The sequence below is a fragment of the Homo sapiens genome, chromosome 1 (genome assembly GCF_000001405.40).
Source record: "Homo sapiens chromosome 1, GRCh38.p14 Primary Assembly".
NCBI lineage: Eukaryota > Metazoa > Chordata > Mammalia > Primates > Hominidae > Homo > Homo sapiens.
In genome coordinates this window covers 181,508,091-181,524,850 of record NC_000001.11, presented here as the reverse complement: position 1 = coordinate 181,524,850, position 16,760 = coordinate 181,508,091, and the positions used below count along the sequence as shown (strand labels likewise).

The following is a 16,760-nucleotide window of genomic DNA, read 5'->3' as shown; positions in this document are numbered from 1 at the left end:
AGGTTGTTGCTAGAAGGCAGCTGCCCAATTAGGGATTAGATCTCCCAGTCTCACCTGCAACTAGGCTGAGCCACATGGCTGTTCCTTGTCAATGGGATGTGACTAGAAGTAATGTGTATCAGTTCTATACCAATACATTTAAGGAGTATGCCTTATTCTTACTCTCTCTTTCCACTTCTCTTGAAGGGACATAAACCACGAGATCATAGAGGACAGCAGAGCTACCAGATAGAAGGAGCCTGGGTCTCTACCTCACCAAGTGGAGGGAAGCCAGGAGCACTGTTCAGGACACACTGGCCTGTTCAAGGAGCAAGAGAGAACCTACTATGTTAACCCATTGAAATTTGGGGGGTTATTTGTTAGAGCATCTAGCCCTGCTTAATCTAGTACATAAATCTTGCAAGAGAGGTATTTTAGATTTTAAAAATGAGACTCCTATAGCCTGGACCAGCCAACCTGGAACAAGCTCTGTACGGGTCACATTGTTCCCAGCTGCCTTAGGACCACACATACATTCTATTCCAATTAGATTGCTCTTTTTTAAAAAAGGAAACATACCATTTATTTATAATTATTTCACTTTATCCACAATTTCCCATACAAACATAAAATATAAAAAAATAAAACCACCACTTGGGAATGTGAGTGTCTCTTTCATAGTCTGGTTGAGGGATGAGCATAAGCCCTCTCACTTTATGAAAAGGAAAAGAGTTAGGAATAATGCCTGAGAAATGGCTCTGCATGAGCAACCTAACTCATACTAGTGTGGGGTGGTGGGGCCTCACTGGCAAAGAGACTTGGGGTGTCACCTGCTGGGGACAGCATGGCTTCCCAAAAGGATGACAGCTGCTTGCTCCCAACTCCCAGACCTCCACTACCAAATACCAAAAATCAAACACGGGCCATATATCTCGTGAACTCCAATTAGACTGTTCTGTTCACGAGTGAAGCATTGTATCTAACTTCTACTTCTACTTTCCCCATCACCTCTACACAAGACTGAAGACCAGCTTGACTAAAATCAGGCTTTAGCCACAGGCAAAATGGGGCATACATTGCAGTTCTGGGCCTCATCTCCTTCTTTCATATCAATGGGTTAGTTACACTGAACTAGCAATTCTCATTCTTTCAAGTGTGAGGCTCTCTTTTTAATGTCACAAATTCAAGACCAACCCCATCCCTTGGAGGAGTTATTTCAATTACTATAGCCCCTTAACAACATGGTTAAATAATTGTTATTACCCAGAGCCATTCCTTTTTCTATGCAGATGGAGACATTGAGACTTAACAGAAGCTGGGTCACTTGCCCACAACCACAGTACTAGAAAACAGTAGAGCAAAGATATGAATTCAGGTTTGCTTGTCTATGAAGCCCAAATTCTTAATCACTATGCTATATTGAATAAATTAAAAAAGAAAACAATACTACTCATTCAACAATACTTTTAGATGTATTTATATTTTATAAATCACAACAGCATCCACACACTACAAAATATACTATGTTACATATTTGAGGGAAACTTTATTCAGGAAACAGCCAGTGCTTGTAGGTGACTTCTTGTTGCTTAGAGTTCAGACCAGTCACAGCTGGGGGGAGTGGAAATCATTGGAAGTTCCTCCTCCTTTATTTGCAGTACTAGCTAGTCAAACTTTGACCTGATCAGATTCCCAGTAGGGAGATCCCACCCCAAACTTGAATTTGCTTATTGGAGAAGAAGGACTGGAGGTCAGAGTCTAATAGACAAAGTTCTAAGAAGGTCTTGGTCAGAATGAGTCTCTCATACACACCACAACCACAACACCACGTACTACCCTCTGTGGCATCTACCTCAAACTCCCCAAGTCTTGTATTTCAGAACAGAATGTAAAATGAAAACAGGGAAGGATTAGGGAGACTAAGAAAAGGACAACAGAAGAGCAGGGAGGAAGAAGCTAACACGTTAAAGAGCTGGCTGCACTCATCTGAAGAGGGGATGTGGGATGGAAGTGGGCAGGAGAAAAGACCGGGGTGAGCATTTACTCCCTTCCCGTCTCTATCACCAGAGTCCATATGTGAAGGATCCATCTGGGTGACCTGTCTCCAGAACAGAGAATACGACACTTACTTGGAAAGGGAACTGGGATTCTCTATTTCCCTCTTCCAAATGAGTGGGTAGAATGTAACTCACAGAGCACTTTGAGCTCCCCACTGGAAGGATGTAAGGGCCCCTAAATCACAAAATGTTATATTTACAGTGGTTATTAACCAGAGTTCAGTTAGGATCCAGATTCAGCATCATGATGTGTCATGGGCTTTGGGAACAGGGAAAAGAGAAACATCCCATAAACAAGCATGTGGGTTGGCTTGATCTTTTGACCATTGTTCTATCAGAAAAATAAAAATCATAATAATCATATAGCAATGTTCTCAGCAAAGCATTTTTAAAATAATTTCTGTGCTGAATATAAAAAATAAAAGCCCACACACTCATCAATTCTTACCCATTATTTGAATCAGTAGGAGATGCTCAGAGTATAATCTCAGAGGGCCAGGGACTATGTCTCTACTCTGGGCAGGTTAACAAATCTTTAACATGTGCTCAGCTAGATTATAAGGTCTGTAGACTGGGTTTTGGTACAGCTCCAATAGGTTAAACAAAATTATAGTTGAGGGCTGATGTTGGAAGGAGGGGGCAAGAAGGAAGAAAGGGACACTGAGGACTTTAATCCTATTTCCCTAATTCTGAGGAGACATGGAGTCATTTGGGCAACTTGTTCTATCTTCTTCTCTGCAAACATCGTGCCTCTCCTGCAAATCTGTTCACTTTCCTGTTTCAAACCATTCAATGGCCTCCCACTGAACATGCCTGGACATGCCAACGAGGCCCTGAATGATGTGAATGATGTGGTCCCTGCCTACTTTCCAACCCCTCTTAGATTACAATCACTGTGGTCCCCTCCAGCCTTCTTTTTGTTTCTCACACCTGCCATGGCCTCCCCCACCTCTAGCCCTGCACAACTGTCCTACCCTCTGCCTGGAACTCTCCTCATCCTGTCCCCTTCCCTCTTCTCGTCTCATCCTAGCTAAGTATAACTCAGTCTTCAGGTCTCAAGTTAGGTTAGGGTCCCAGTGAAAAGTTATCCTAGCACCCTAAGTCTTCTCCTATGCAGCATGTTATACACTATTAAATTAAAGTAAATATCTGTCTTCTCTGCTGGACAGCAAGGTATGAATAGAGGCTATATCTCCATCCAGTGCTGCGTCCCTAGCAGTCAGCACAATGTTTGAACACAGGATGTGCTCAACTAATACCGGCTGCCTCTATACTTCCTTCCCTCCTGTCTTCTCCTGACTCTGTCCATTTTCCCCCACACCATAGTTCAGAGCTCATATATGGGTATTAGGGATGCTTAGCCCTGAGTGGGCTTCTTTCTGGTTTTCTCTCCCTCACCCAGAGTTTTGACTAAGATTCAACAGCAAAGATACCCCAAACCAGGTCAGTTTCAGTTCCATTTCAGATTGAGCTCTCCCATGGCTAGTCATGCCAACCTGGACTAGGTAAGGACTCTCCAAGGCCAGCTGGGCCCCAGAGGGCTGGTGGAGAGGAGGTGAGATGCAGGGACCCCCACAGTGATGTAAATTGTTTCCAATGCATCTGACATGTGAAGCAGCCACCCTTGTCACTCTGCCTCCTAGTCACTGTTCCAGTGCTGGAGGCCAGGGAGAAAAGCCATGGCCCTGATCCCCCTTCCTAAATGTTCTGTCACCAAGGTCCAGGCAACTGACAGAAGAGTGGCAGTCAAGAAGGAAGGAAATGAAAGACAAGAGGGAAGAAGTCAGACCTCAGGCTTCTTTTCAGCCCCTCCTTTGTGCAAGGGCTCTGCCTGGACATTCTTCCTGGAGGAGAGAGGGCATTGTCAGCCTTCCTGGGTCACATCCAGATGTGGGCGGACAGGGGCTGACCCCTCTGGCCTGTGTATGTTTTGTGAGAAGTGGGGAGGATAGAAGACAAAGAAAGGGAAGACCAAAAAAATGGAAATCTAGAAAATGTAACATTTTCCTTGTTAGAAAAATTTAAAATAAAGGCCTTTGTTTCAACTTTTACTCTTGGAACTTCTTTGTTGTTCTTATGGGTAATGACTGTAGCAGGATTTGACTAATTTTGATAAAATTAGATATGCTGCTGATAGGAAATAAGATACATCCTATGTGCGATATGTAGTAAACTTCTCTCTTGAGGCAAAATTATAACTAATGGAAAATTTTAAATTTACCATAGTTTTAAAATTTGCAATAGGTTTCAGTGAAATTTGTTTCTGTGGTTGCAAGTTTTATAGAGATAAATGACCATTCTTAATGAGGTCTACAGAACCATAGTATTTTGAGTACTTTCAATTTTTATATGCTGGTTTTTTTCAAGGCACTCATGGTGCTTTATGTGTATTTTAACATTTATCTTTATAATATCACTGTCCTGGAGGGAAGGTATTATTGTTCACTGATTTGGTATTTTGCTTTATTGTTTTGCAAAACACTTTGGCAGTGGAGGCTGTGCTGTACACTAGATATAGCAAGGGCTTTAGAATTGTTGATAATAGAATTAAAGGGCCAATCTCTCCCCTTAGTAACTATTTGACCTTGAGCAAGTGACTTTGCCTCTTTAAGTTTTGGTTTCCTCATCCGTAAAATGGAGATAATATCACTATTGCCTTACATTTCTATATTTAAAATAATATGTGCAAGTGCCAATATAGAATATGAAGCCTTCTGCATTTAAAATAAGACATGAGCTCCTGGTTAAATGGGAGCTGTCATTATCAACATCATCACTATCCTCTTTGCTTGTCATGAAACCTGGTGGAGGTAGCTACAGCAGGTTTTACCTTCACTTCATAAATGAAGTTTCATAAAGGAAAGCCAAGCTGAGATGGGTTACATCATCACCAGTATGACAGAGAGAATGTATGTCAGGATCAGGACCAGAACCCAGAGCCGCCAGGTCATTCAGTCCATGAGATTAAACTCTGTTTCCATGTAAGTTGCACATGTATATTCCAGCCAAATAACAGAAAATCTTATTTCTTAATACCTCCAGCTTCATGGCCTAAATACAACCAAGAAGCAGCAGATTCTCATCGCCAGGGGTAGTAAGGCATCGCTGCAACAGAGTCCTAGATTTGGAATTACACAGGATCCAAGCCCCAGCTCACCACACCCCATCTAAAAGACCCTGGACAAGTTACTTAGCAACATGCACTTTAGTCTTCTCTTCTGTGAAAAAAATAATAAGTAAGGGAAAGTTAGGCAAATTTATTATTCTCCTAGATCTAAAATTCAGTGATTGAGCTTTAGTAACCTTAGCCTTACCTTGTCTTCATACGTTCTTTCTTAAACCAGCATGCCCTCATTTTCCTCTCAACATCGGCTCTGCCCCACCTTGCCCCTTCCCTTTGGTAACCACTCTGCACTCATTATATCTGCTATTTCCTGACTTCAGTGACACATACATTAAATAGTGCTGCTGCATTTTCACATTTCACACCAACACATTTATACTTAACTGTGGACTACATTTACAACATAGACACAAGTGCACAAATCTCTACCCAAAGGAGGAGACATATTTCAACCACAGAATGGAAATGTAAACAGTTCCTTTAATTCTCAATTCTTGTAAATCTATAGAGTTCGCATTTATGCCATATCCACCTCTGCTTTGAAAACATACCTGGGGATTTTCACCCCACCTCCCTCTTCCACATACACTCATGCACAAGCACAAGAATGCACGAGTTTAACTGCCTTCAAATGAGAGCTCCAGGCCCAGGAGAACGGTCTGACTTAGAAAGCACCTTGCCATAATTTCTTTCCCTGTATCACCCTGAGTGAATGCAATGCCAGGAGACAAATAAAGTCCCAAACCAAACCACCCAGGGATTTCGAAGCTTTCTTCACTCCCTCTGGCTTTTCCTCCTCTTTGGTGATATCAAAGCCAATTCAGGCCCCACTCAGTTCTGTCCATATGGAGCTTCTGTCAATGGGTGGGGGTGGCAAGAAGAAGCCTTTCAGGAAACAGAAACCATCCCAACACCAATGTCTTACATCTGGAACACAGTGTATATTCAATATATATCTGTTGAGTGAACCAATGGTGCATCTCAATATAGAAAAAAGACAGAGTGCATACATGAGAAAAAATTCCCTCCCACCCAAGGCACAATCCCAACTCAGCTGCCCATCAACTACTAACTGGCACTCTCACTAGGAGTCTCCCTGAAGTAACTGGATTTATCAGCAGCACAGAGCTAAGAAGAGACCTTTAAGCTTCACATTTTGTCTTTTGCCCACCTCTCCCTGGAATCGAAATCCTATATTCTAACCTTATCTTTTCCATCATTTGCCCATCTGGGGGGAAATGCAATTGGAACAGAAATAATGTTCTGATAAAAGGAGATGCTGCAAGTGGCAGCTGTGCTCCCCAGTGTGGAGCTAGAAATGCACAAAAAGCCAGGGAGGAGGTGGAGATCTGTCAGAGGAGCAGCCAGCAACGATGCTGAGAGGAAGAACTGAAAAGTGGTAAGGCTTACAGGCTTGCAGACCTCCCCAACATCAGCATTAATAATGCTGATGCCAGGTTTAGTGCCTAGCATTAAGGCACTAAATAAATATCTGTTCATCTAGCAGCTCAGCTAAGTATCTCTGAGTCCCTTGCCTTGCTCCACTCAGCCTCGGTTTCCCCATCTCCTAAATAACAAGTTCTCATGTCTCCTCCCTCTACCCATTCTGCCCTTGCTCCCCATCTGCATCCTTCACCTGCCCAGAACAGTAAGGACAAGTAAAAGACAGGTCTCTGAGGTCCCGCCAGGCTCACTGGCCTGGTGATGCTATATAAATACCCACTGATATCATACTATTACCACAGGGATTCAAATTGGGCTGGGGGCCTGAGGACTGCATTCACAACTCTTCCCCCACATTCTCAGCCTCAGAGAGACAGTGCTGAGGAAAACTCTGCTTTCCTCGATCTTTAGCTGCTCAGGAAACTCTTGTATTAGGGCAGCCTCTTTACAGAAAACCCTCTAAAAATACCTATCAATATATATTTAGCTCTAGATAGCATCCTCCTACCAACAGGCTTCAGGCTAAATCGTTCTGCATGTGCCACTGGCGAGAAGCTGGGGATGAGGACGGCAGCTCCCAGCTTTACTGCAGCACTCCCTGGCTCTCCTCTCCCCTGCTCCCTTTTCCTCTGCCTCCCCTCTTTCTGCTTGGCTCTGCACATTCTCCCAAACTGCAGCTAAGGATGTGGAGATGGCTCCAACTTTTTTCCATGGCTTTCCTCAGAGTTGATTCCAGGGTAAAAAAGAAAAAAGAGTTGTGCCACATCCAGAGCAGACTCAGAGTGAAACAGTGAAATAGTGAACCCCCTGCTCAAAGCCTTCCGTGGCTCCCCACTGCCCTCTGGTTAAAGTACAGACTACTCAGAATGGCCTAGACTGGCCCCTGCTGACCTCTGCAGGTCTCTCCCCATGCCACCTGCCAGGCTTCCAGAAGTGTCCTGTGGTCTGTCTGTGTGCCTCTCTCCATGTGCCACCCCCACAGGGCATTTGTACATAGCATTCTTTCTCCCAGAAGGGCTCTTCTCCTTCCCTGCCCAGCTAAGTTCCATCTGTCCATCCTTTCCACTTGTTTAAATGTGACTTCTTTCAAGAAGCTTTCCCCAGTGCCCCAGGGCCAGGCTGGACACCCTTTCACGTTCTCATGTTGCGTGGCTCCAGCCCCCACCACCATGGAAGACACTAGGCCCCATTCCACCCACACCAAACACAGTACCTGGCACACAGTGGGTATTCAGCAATAGCTCTTGAGGGGCCTCCTAGGCCCTGGGGTGATGACCTTGGCAGAGGAAGGAGGAAGAGCCAGGCACAGACACACCTGCCCCTCCCCAGAGTCTACACCATGTGCTCCGCAGTAAAGGGAAGAGCCAACGCAGGTCACCTCCCACGCAAGGCTGACAAAACTCAGGAAAGAGCATATTTTGAGCTGATTTGGGGGTTTTCTTAGGAAAATAGACAATATTACCAACACTCAAGACTAGCTCTGTAATGTCACCAATACTTTAACATACAATGGAAAACAAAGACTTCCTAGATGGAAAGGGATAACACACTTTTCTCCATTTGGCCTGAACCCAAAGAGACACAAGGGAAATAGGGAAAGGAGACTAAATTGCTCCAGCAGCACAGGAACAGCTGGTGCTGTCGCTGAGTCTGAGGCAGTGACATCACTTGGCCTAGGGAAGGTGCCCAGGTGCTAAAGGCAAACTGGCCTGGGTTCAAATTCTGACTTTACCTTATACCAACCATTTGGATTTGGACAAGTTAAATTGTCTGTGCCTTGGCTTCTTCATCTGTAAAATGGGACTGGGTAATAGTCAAGCCTAATGATTCTCAACTCCTGGTACATTTTTAGGATTAGAAATTGTGTGTGTGTGTGTGTGTGTGTGTGTGTGTGTGTGTGTGTGGTCTTTGGCACATGGTTCAATAAATGACCATTTTTATTATATGGTAAACGCTAGGTGATGTGATACCCCTGCTTTCTCCTTATCCACCCCTCCAACCCCCACCCCATCCACAGCCACTTCAATGAGGTTAGGTCTTCAATATGCAGTGCTGACTCTGCCCTTATCACCCAGGAAGCAATTCTCAGGAGATAACACTGACAACCTGGTAAATAACCACAGGTGACTGGAAGCCCAATATTGCTTAATGGCCTAGAAATTGAGCTCCCAGCTTTCATTTTCCTAATAGAATGACCAGAATATGAGCAGCCTGGCAGAGGTAGATAGAGATGAGAGAGACATAGACACTGCCTGGCTCAGCCAGGCCAAGGGGGAAGGCTGGGAACAGACAATCCCTCTTTACCCCAGCCCCAGCCTTCCCCCAGCACTCATTTTTGTATCCTATAGACAAGAGAATCTGGGGATAGGCAAGCAATTCAATTCAATCAGCATTTACTGAGTACCAACTATATGCCAGGCACTGGGCATATAGAGATGAGTGGGCATCTAAGACACAGTCCTCGCCTTCATTTCCCTGTTGTTACCCATGATTTAGGAGTACCCTTGACTCTCATCCTCCCATCTCATCTGTCCATCTGCTCCAGGTACTATATTTTTATAACTCACTCTTGACTAATGTGTAATAGTGACTTCAACTAATTTGGAATTCTCCAGGTGGCCTGACAAGTGTTTAAAAATTGCCTGAGTTGTTCCCAATGCAAGAGAGATCCCAAGTTCTGTAAGATAAGAATGTGTTAAAAGAATGGCAAATTCCACTGTCTTTTAGCAGGTGGGAAAATATAATAACGTCCACATTTCTCGGTCCCAGCATTGCCTTCTGCCTTCACCAACACAATACTAGTTTCACTGAATTAATGAATTGGTGAGTGAATGAGTGAACAAACAAGCCATTTAAGGAAGAAATCAGCTGGAACTCTGATCCACTCTCTACACATCAAACCATGCTATGCTGACAGTTAAAGTGACATGCCTTCTTTACCACAGAGCAGGGAGTCTCATCCCAAGCCCACAGAGAGAAGTCTCAGGATGGACACATTGGGCCCCTGTCCCCTTCAACTCACATGTGAAGCCCCACCTTTGAGAGTGAACATTTGCCTGATCATACCTCCCTGAGCTCATCCCACACTGCCTCACGGGGACTAAAGGAACCTGCAACCACAGAGCCTTAGAACCATGGGGCCCTTGGGGTTGTGAAGTAACTGCCAGTATGGGGAAAAGTCAGTGAAAGAAGGAACTTGGAGCCAGGAGATGTGGTCTCAAGTCCTGGATCTAGTGCCTGCTAGCAATTCATGTGCCCTCTCTGATCCTCGGTTTCTTCATCTGTAAAATGAGGCTAGCAAGGTCTTTTCTATGGCATTATGAGGACAAGATGAAGCAATGTACATAAATGCGCTTTCTAAACCATGCACACCCTCAACTTATAGGCCAAAGAACACTAAAGTTTAGGAGGTCAGAGGTCACAGGCAGAATGTGGTAGCCCAGGCCCCTCAACTAGTCATCTCTCAGCAAAGATCAATAAGAGCAGGTCTTACACTGAGCCAGCTGACTGACACCTCAGCACCCACTTCCCTCCTGTCAGCACCGAGAGCTGAGAAGTTGTGCAGCCTCAGCCCTGAGGCACTGTGTCATGCTCCAGCACCTGTCATTCCTCCTGTGCAGAGGGGAAAATGGGAGGTGACACCTGGAGATGAGGTGGGAAGGAAGAGCTGTCAGCAGGGACTGCTGTGGGTGCAGGTGTCAGGAAGACAAAGGGGGACACCAGGTGGCCTGGTAAGGAGGCTGCACAGGGCAGGGGTCAAAACACCAGCCCTGGATCAAAAGGCACAATTCTGACTCCTGCATCTGCCATTAAGAGGCAGGTGTGATCTTGGGTGAATAACTTACCCTCTTTGAGTACCAGATGACTCATCTCTAAAGTCCACTTTGCCTGCCTCCCTGGTTGGTATCACATGTCATTGAATCTACAACCCCAACAATTGTAAGATGCCCCGTAATTTTATGTAGCACTAAGAAAGAAAAACATGCTGTCAATTAAACTATATCATGCCATTATTGTAAGACACAGGCTGATTTCAGCAATGTTCCAGCATGAAAAACGTGCATCTTAGAGCCACACAATGTGGTAGATGAGAGCATCATGTGACTGTAAGACTAAATATGATCATGCATTCCTGTGGGATAGAACCGCAACCCTCAGCCCCTCAGCAGGGATCTCAAGAGGACCAAGCTCTTTGCCTGGAGCACATTCACCCATGAATTGAGGAGAAAGGGAACGGTCCATGCTGAGAAGAGGGCTAAGCAGCAGGTCTGGAGGAGGAGCAGGAGCAAAGTCCTGTGAGTTCATATGGAAATCAGGGGCCTGTGAAGGCAATTCACAAAGCCAGGGACATCTGAAGAGCCACTAAGAAGGGAAGATGTGAGGGATGGGAAAGAGAGCACAGAGAGGACAACTGACTCAGCCAAGCTCAGCACCTGCACTGACTCTTGAACACCCCCTGGACATGCAGGCAAGGACCCAGGGGCCCTTCTTGGCTTCGCTGACAAAAGAACCCTATGGGTCCCTATGAATCTGCTTCTTCAACAACCATGTAGCAACCCTTATTTGCAGAGAGATTAACATCTACTGGAAGTCTTCTCTCATGCAGTCAAACAGACCAGTTTCTCTACCTCCTCTCAGCCATTAGTTCCCAGACCCCACACCAGAACAGCCGTATACTCCTCCAGAAGTACTTCTTCAACCTTGTAAAATGTCTCATAAAATGTGATATCCAAAAGACGTACGTTGGAGCATCTTTAATAATTATTTATCAGAGCCAAAAAACAGAAAGAATCCAAGTGTCAAGTAACTGCAAAAATGAGAAGCAAGATGTGTACATCTACTTAACAAACTGCTGATCAGTCATTACAGATTTTTACCAAAATATGCAATAACATGTAATATGCTCATACTATATTGGGAAGAAAGCAGCAAAATTACAAGCATTTAAAAGACAGCTTGCTTAGCATCGAAGGCCTGGAAGGAAATACCACAAAACAATCAGGAATTTTTCTGAATCAGTGAATTTTTTTTTCTTCTTTTGACTTTTCTGTATTTTCCATATTTCTTTAATGAACATATAATCATTTAAAACAAAAATAAATGGACTAGACAAGAAATTTCAAATGGATTCTGCCACATATAGAGCTGAGCAGGACCAAGAATTTACACAAACTTATTATATACACATTACAATACTTTTCTTTTTTTGTTGTTCTTCTGTAGTGACTTATACAACACTTTTCTTCTAGATAGAATCATAACATTTCTAAATGATTCAGATTCTCATACAGGCCTCTTCTAATACAGCACATATTATTTATTTTAGGGACATTTGCAACATTACCCAATATAGTTCTGTAATACTATGTAAAAACTATATCTTCATATACTAATTCATATTTAAAATGTAGTAGAATTTTCTTTTAGAAAACTAACCTCCAGAAAATCCTTTTGTAAGGCAACAGATATTTTTAAACATGAATAGTCATCCCAGTCTATTTATCCATTTCCCATATTGAGGGGCTGGCTGCTTACGTGCTTCCATTTACATATTCCAGTCCATTACATCTTCAGTGTTTTCTCTTTCATGTAATCCCAATGGTGTAAAGATTAAAAAATAAGAGTATTTTGTCTATTCCACATGACAACAAATAGATGCAATCATTCCCAAGCCCTTACCCTTCCTTCTAAGACTTTATCTACCTTCACCCCTCCTCTGACTCCTCCCTGGAAAACAATTCCTCTTTTCTCTCCTTTCCTGTTGGTCAATCACAGTAGTAGCTAATATTTCGCCTTCCCTGCCATTCTAAGTCACTCTCTTCTTTTCTTCATGGGTTTGAACCCTGTCTGCCAAGCAGTTGGGTAAGGGAATTTCCAGACCACATCACTTGCTGCCACATCCACACAGGACCACTCCTCAGTGCCCAGCTTTGCAGGTACCAAGAGCCACCTGACACAAAGACCAATAGGAAGCCACAAAAGCCCAGGAAGGCCTGCCCGTCACACCATTCCCAAGGCCAACACATTTGCTGCCAAGGGCACTGGGTCAACCCAGCTTCCTCATACTATATTCATTTCCAAAAGAATGATTTATCAAATATTTAACTAAATGTACTGCCATCATATATGCTGCTGTGACACTGGGTCAGCCCCAATGTCGTATGGCTATATTAATTTCCACAGAATGATTTATCCAACATTTTAATATGATTCGATTTTATACTATTAACAAATCTGCAAATGATAAAAACTTCTGTTGTCAGAACACAAGTCTCAATGATCAGTTCAGAAAATATGGCTGAGGTCTTCTCCAACGCCCAAAAGAAGCTGCATTTGACTACATCTTTTGGCCCGTCTTGGAGGTGCCTCCCAGGCGGGGGTAAGCTGCTTGCTTTGGTGAAAAGGCTCATTGGGAAATGTCACCCTCCCCAGAGAAGTGGGTGTTTAGCCACTGAGCCAAGCACAGAATGGAAAACCAGAAGTGGCAGCTTCCAGACCTGGCTGAGAGTCCCATGGCCTCTGCCTAACACCACACGCATCTCCACACAGTACTCATCCTCCTCTTGAGGTGGCTGACCTATGGTCCAGCACCCTGGGGAATCTTAGCCTTGAACTTTTTCTTCTGCCCCTACTCTACAGATTGCTGTCTTTCCACCCCAGGTTCCCTGCCCCCAGCCACCTCATGATACCAACCCCCTTCATACACACACACAGACAGAGAGAGAAAATGGACTTACCCACTGAGGACCACGATGAAGTCCATGACATTCCAGCCATTGCGGAGGTAAGAGCCCTTATGGAAGATGAACCCCAGGGCCACAATTTTGATCCCAGCTTCAAAGCAAAAGATCCCAATGAAATAAGGTTCTGTCTTCTCCTGTGGGGATGAGGAGCAGAAGCACCAGTGAGAAGAGGACTGTGCTTTATGAGACACAGGCAAAAGCACAGCCTGGCCCTTCCTGGATGTCTGTGCTGGGCCTGCCCATGTGTAGGTGGGAAGCAAGGGTGCTAAGGGACCCTTGCAGGCTGTCTGTGACTCAGGAGTGCACAGGGCAAGGGAGACCCAGGGGAGCCAGCTGTAGAAATGGACAATGTGAGGGTCACACCCAGGGGCTAGACTTCCTTCCCAGGAAGGTCCCTGATGGCCCTGGCTTTGCCCTGAAGGAGTTTGCTGCTCTTCACATAAGTTAGAAGCTTGAAGGTCATCATCTCAAGTACACACGTGAATTTTAGGCAGTTTGTCTGCTCTTTTTAGGGGGAATACGTTAGATGTGTGACTCATTTCTTTAAGGAGAATAAGGACGTAAGCATTGGGAAGTTCATAACCACAAATACACACAAGCACTGAGCATCCTTCATCCTCTCCCCTCTACTCCCCACCTCTTCCTCTCGTATCAGAAGTCCCTTAGGAAAGAGGAGGGAAGAAAATGGGCCTGTGCCTGCCCTTTCTTCTTCCCTGGCTGCCACGCAGCACAGACACAGTGTTTGTAATCTCTTCTTTTCCGTGTGAATCCCCATGGGGTCTGTCATTAGCTTGTCCCCCAGCAAAGAGCAAACTCCTCCCAGAACTCACAGGCAGGAAGGGAATGGGAGAGTGATAAAGCAGAGGAGAAGAAACCAAGAAAGACAAAAGGGGCAAAGGGGAGAAGGAGGGGAATCACATACCAGTCTTCGGGACATGGGGGTCTTGTCATCCTCAGGAAGATGCTGCTCCAGGGCCAGGACGATGCAGTTGGCAATGATGGTGGCCAGGATCATGTACTCAAATGGCGTGGGAAAGCGGAGTTAAGGAACAAATTCACCAGAGAGGGACACAGCCTCCAAGATGGCCGTGCCCATAAACACACAACTCTATCAACCCGCATTGTGTCTGTGCAGTTTGCATGATTTTTATTTGTAAACAGGCAGGCAGGCAAGACAGTGGATGGTCCTTAGCATCCACTTTTGGTTTTGTGAAACCAAAAACATTTGTGCCTGGTCTCTGAACACAAAGCATCTTCTCCAAAAAAGGAACGTATATAGCCAATACATAATATAGTTGGGCATATGGCAGACACTCCAGCTACTGAGTGAATTCAATAACAAATCCAATAACCAAGGCTGAAAATAGAAGGGGGAAGAAAGGAGGAAGAAACATAATTAATGCCATCGCAGACCCCTTGTTCTCCCCAGTCTTCAAACCACTGAACTGGGTAACGATGCTTGTGCACAGATCCAGCTGCTGCAATCCATTGCTCTCCTGGGCTCACAACTGGAGTCCTCTCTTCTAGAATCTCTGCACCACTGAGTAACAGAAGAACATCTGGAAAATAAACAATTCTCTCCATGTGAGCTTCCTTCTATTTTAAAATTCCACTCAGCAATGTACTTCTGGGGGAAGGAGAGGCTTGCTTTGTCCCACCTTATTTTCTTCTAAGTGTCTGCATCTATATGAAACAGAGACTGATCACGAGTCTGGAATCCTGGACAGCAAAGTCCAGTCCTGTAAGAACCACACTACAATGAATGAATGCAGGCTTTTTTCTGTTAGATGTTTTTGAAAACAGGTGAGGTGCTCCCTGTGCCTTTTCAAAAACAGGACTATGACCCCTGCAGGAAGGTTTTGCCACATGCTCCGAGGGAGGTGGGAAGGACTCTCAGAAGAGAAAGAGGGAATCACCAGCTCCCAGTGCTGTCATTCTGCATGTTGGAATTTCATTCTGTGATTACTGTTACGACAAACACAAGTTAGCTACTGCAGCTGGTCTTGCTGAGCAACCTGTGCTCCAGAAGATTCTGGAATCCAGGCAGAAGAGAGGAGCCGTAGATCTGGCAAAGTGGAGGGAAGGAAAGGGACTGTTCTTATCTCCCCACATACCCAGACAGGCTGTGTAGGGTGCAGGGCCTGGAACCCTGTCGTGGAGTTCAGGAGGGCAAATCACAGCTATCCCTGCAATGCCCCCATCCTGCCAGGCTACCTGTGGCAATAACACAATGTTAAGTTAGCACCCAGGGCATCTCTGGGGAGGGCAAGGCAGTGTGTGCAATGAGATGTGAGCTGCTCACCAGTTGCTCTGGTCTTGGTGCTGGCATCAGGGGCTGCAGGGCTGAGATGCTGGCTGTGTGTGAGCCCCTAGTCCTTCTCTTAATCCTCATTTGGCAGTGCCTTCTCCTCCCCCACCACCATGCATCTCTGAGTCACACTGGAGAGTCACACTCACTCGCCAGCAGCTGACCACCATCGTTCCTTCCCACGCACCTCTAGCACTCACACAGCACACAGACCCCAGAGACCATTCCACGGGCCTCTGCTGCCCTGAGGTTCAGCCACCGGAACTAAAAACAGACCTGGCCTCAGGGGACTTCAGAGCCTGTCCATTGCCTCCACACCCCACTGTGCCTGCTTAAACCCTCCCACTCAGAGGGGAGCCTCCCCACATGGAAAGTCCCTCAGCACCCATGGGCATTCCTCTTCCTTCAAACACTCCGGGTGTGAAGCCCCTGAGAGCCAAACATGCCAGCAGACACACACCACAGACGCCCACCCAGCTAGCATGACCACCTTCTAAGGACTGGCCCCCAACATACAGCCTGCCAAGGGCCACCCATGCCCACTGATCGCAGGAGGAGTGCTCCTCCCCTCCCATCATGGCTGTAACCCAGACCTCTGAAAAAATGCAGAGCAACCAGGAACCACACAAGGACCCAGTGTCCCATAAGCCTTCTGAACAGCCTAGGTTGCCCTGGGCCTGGCATAGGCACCCGGAATCCCAGACTCATCCTGCAAATTAAAGATGGGAACCCAGCAGCAATGGTGGCCAAGGAATCCATACCCTTTCCTGAAAACATGCTTGGGCGATGGATCCAGAAAGAGAACTGGCAACACGCATACAAGTCACTGACAAAAGACAACAGAAGTTGAGAGCGTTGAGAGTGGTATTCCTAAGATGCAGGCCATGAAATACTGGTGCTATAGGAACTTGCAATCAACCAATGAGAGAAAGCCTGGGTTGGGCAAAGTTAAGCAGGTTTCTCCCCAGCAGGACTTCTTGGGGCCTTTAATACTTTTGCATACAGTGGGCACACACCCCATCACACACACACACACACACACACACACAAGGCGTTTGGGACAGCACACAACATTTCCCAAACTTGCTTCACCTTGTAACTCTTTT

The 16,760-nt window shown here is 45.5% G+C and overlaps 1 protein-coding gene across 14 annotated transcripts in view, besides 1 other annotated feature; it reads right to left on the bottom strand.

Annotated features, from left to right (window-relative positions):
- Positions 1 to 16,760, bottom strand: part of CACNA1E (calcium voltage-gated channel subunit alpha1 E) — a 490,386-nt gene that overhangs the window by 283,234 nt on the left and 190,392 nt on the right. For all 14 annotated transcript variants that reach the window (XM_017002244.2, XM_017002243.2, XM_017002249.2 and 11 more), the window contains 2 exons: positions 14,269 to 14,374; positions 13,341 to 13,480 (listed from right to left, as the gene is read on the bottom strand). In XM_017002244.2, the coding sequence (XP_016857733.1) occupies positions 13,341 to 13,480; positions 14,269 to 14,374 (246 nt within the window). The remainder of the gene's footprint in view (positions 1 to 13,340; positions 13,481 to 14,268; positions 14,375 to 16,760) is intronic.
- Positions 10,343 to 10,392: a silencer, noted in NCBI's record as "silent region_1614". NCBI's record gives its function as "represses an Ori minimal core promoter by ATAC-STARR-seq in GM12878 lymphoblastoid cells {active_cell/tissue: GM12878}" and the evidence as "EXISTENCE:reporter gene assay evidence [ECO:0000049][PMID:35858748]".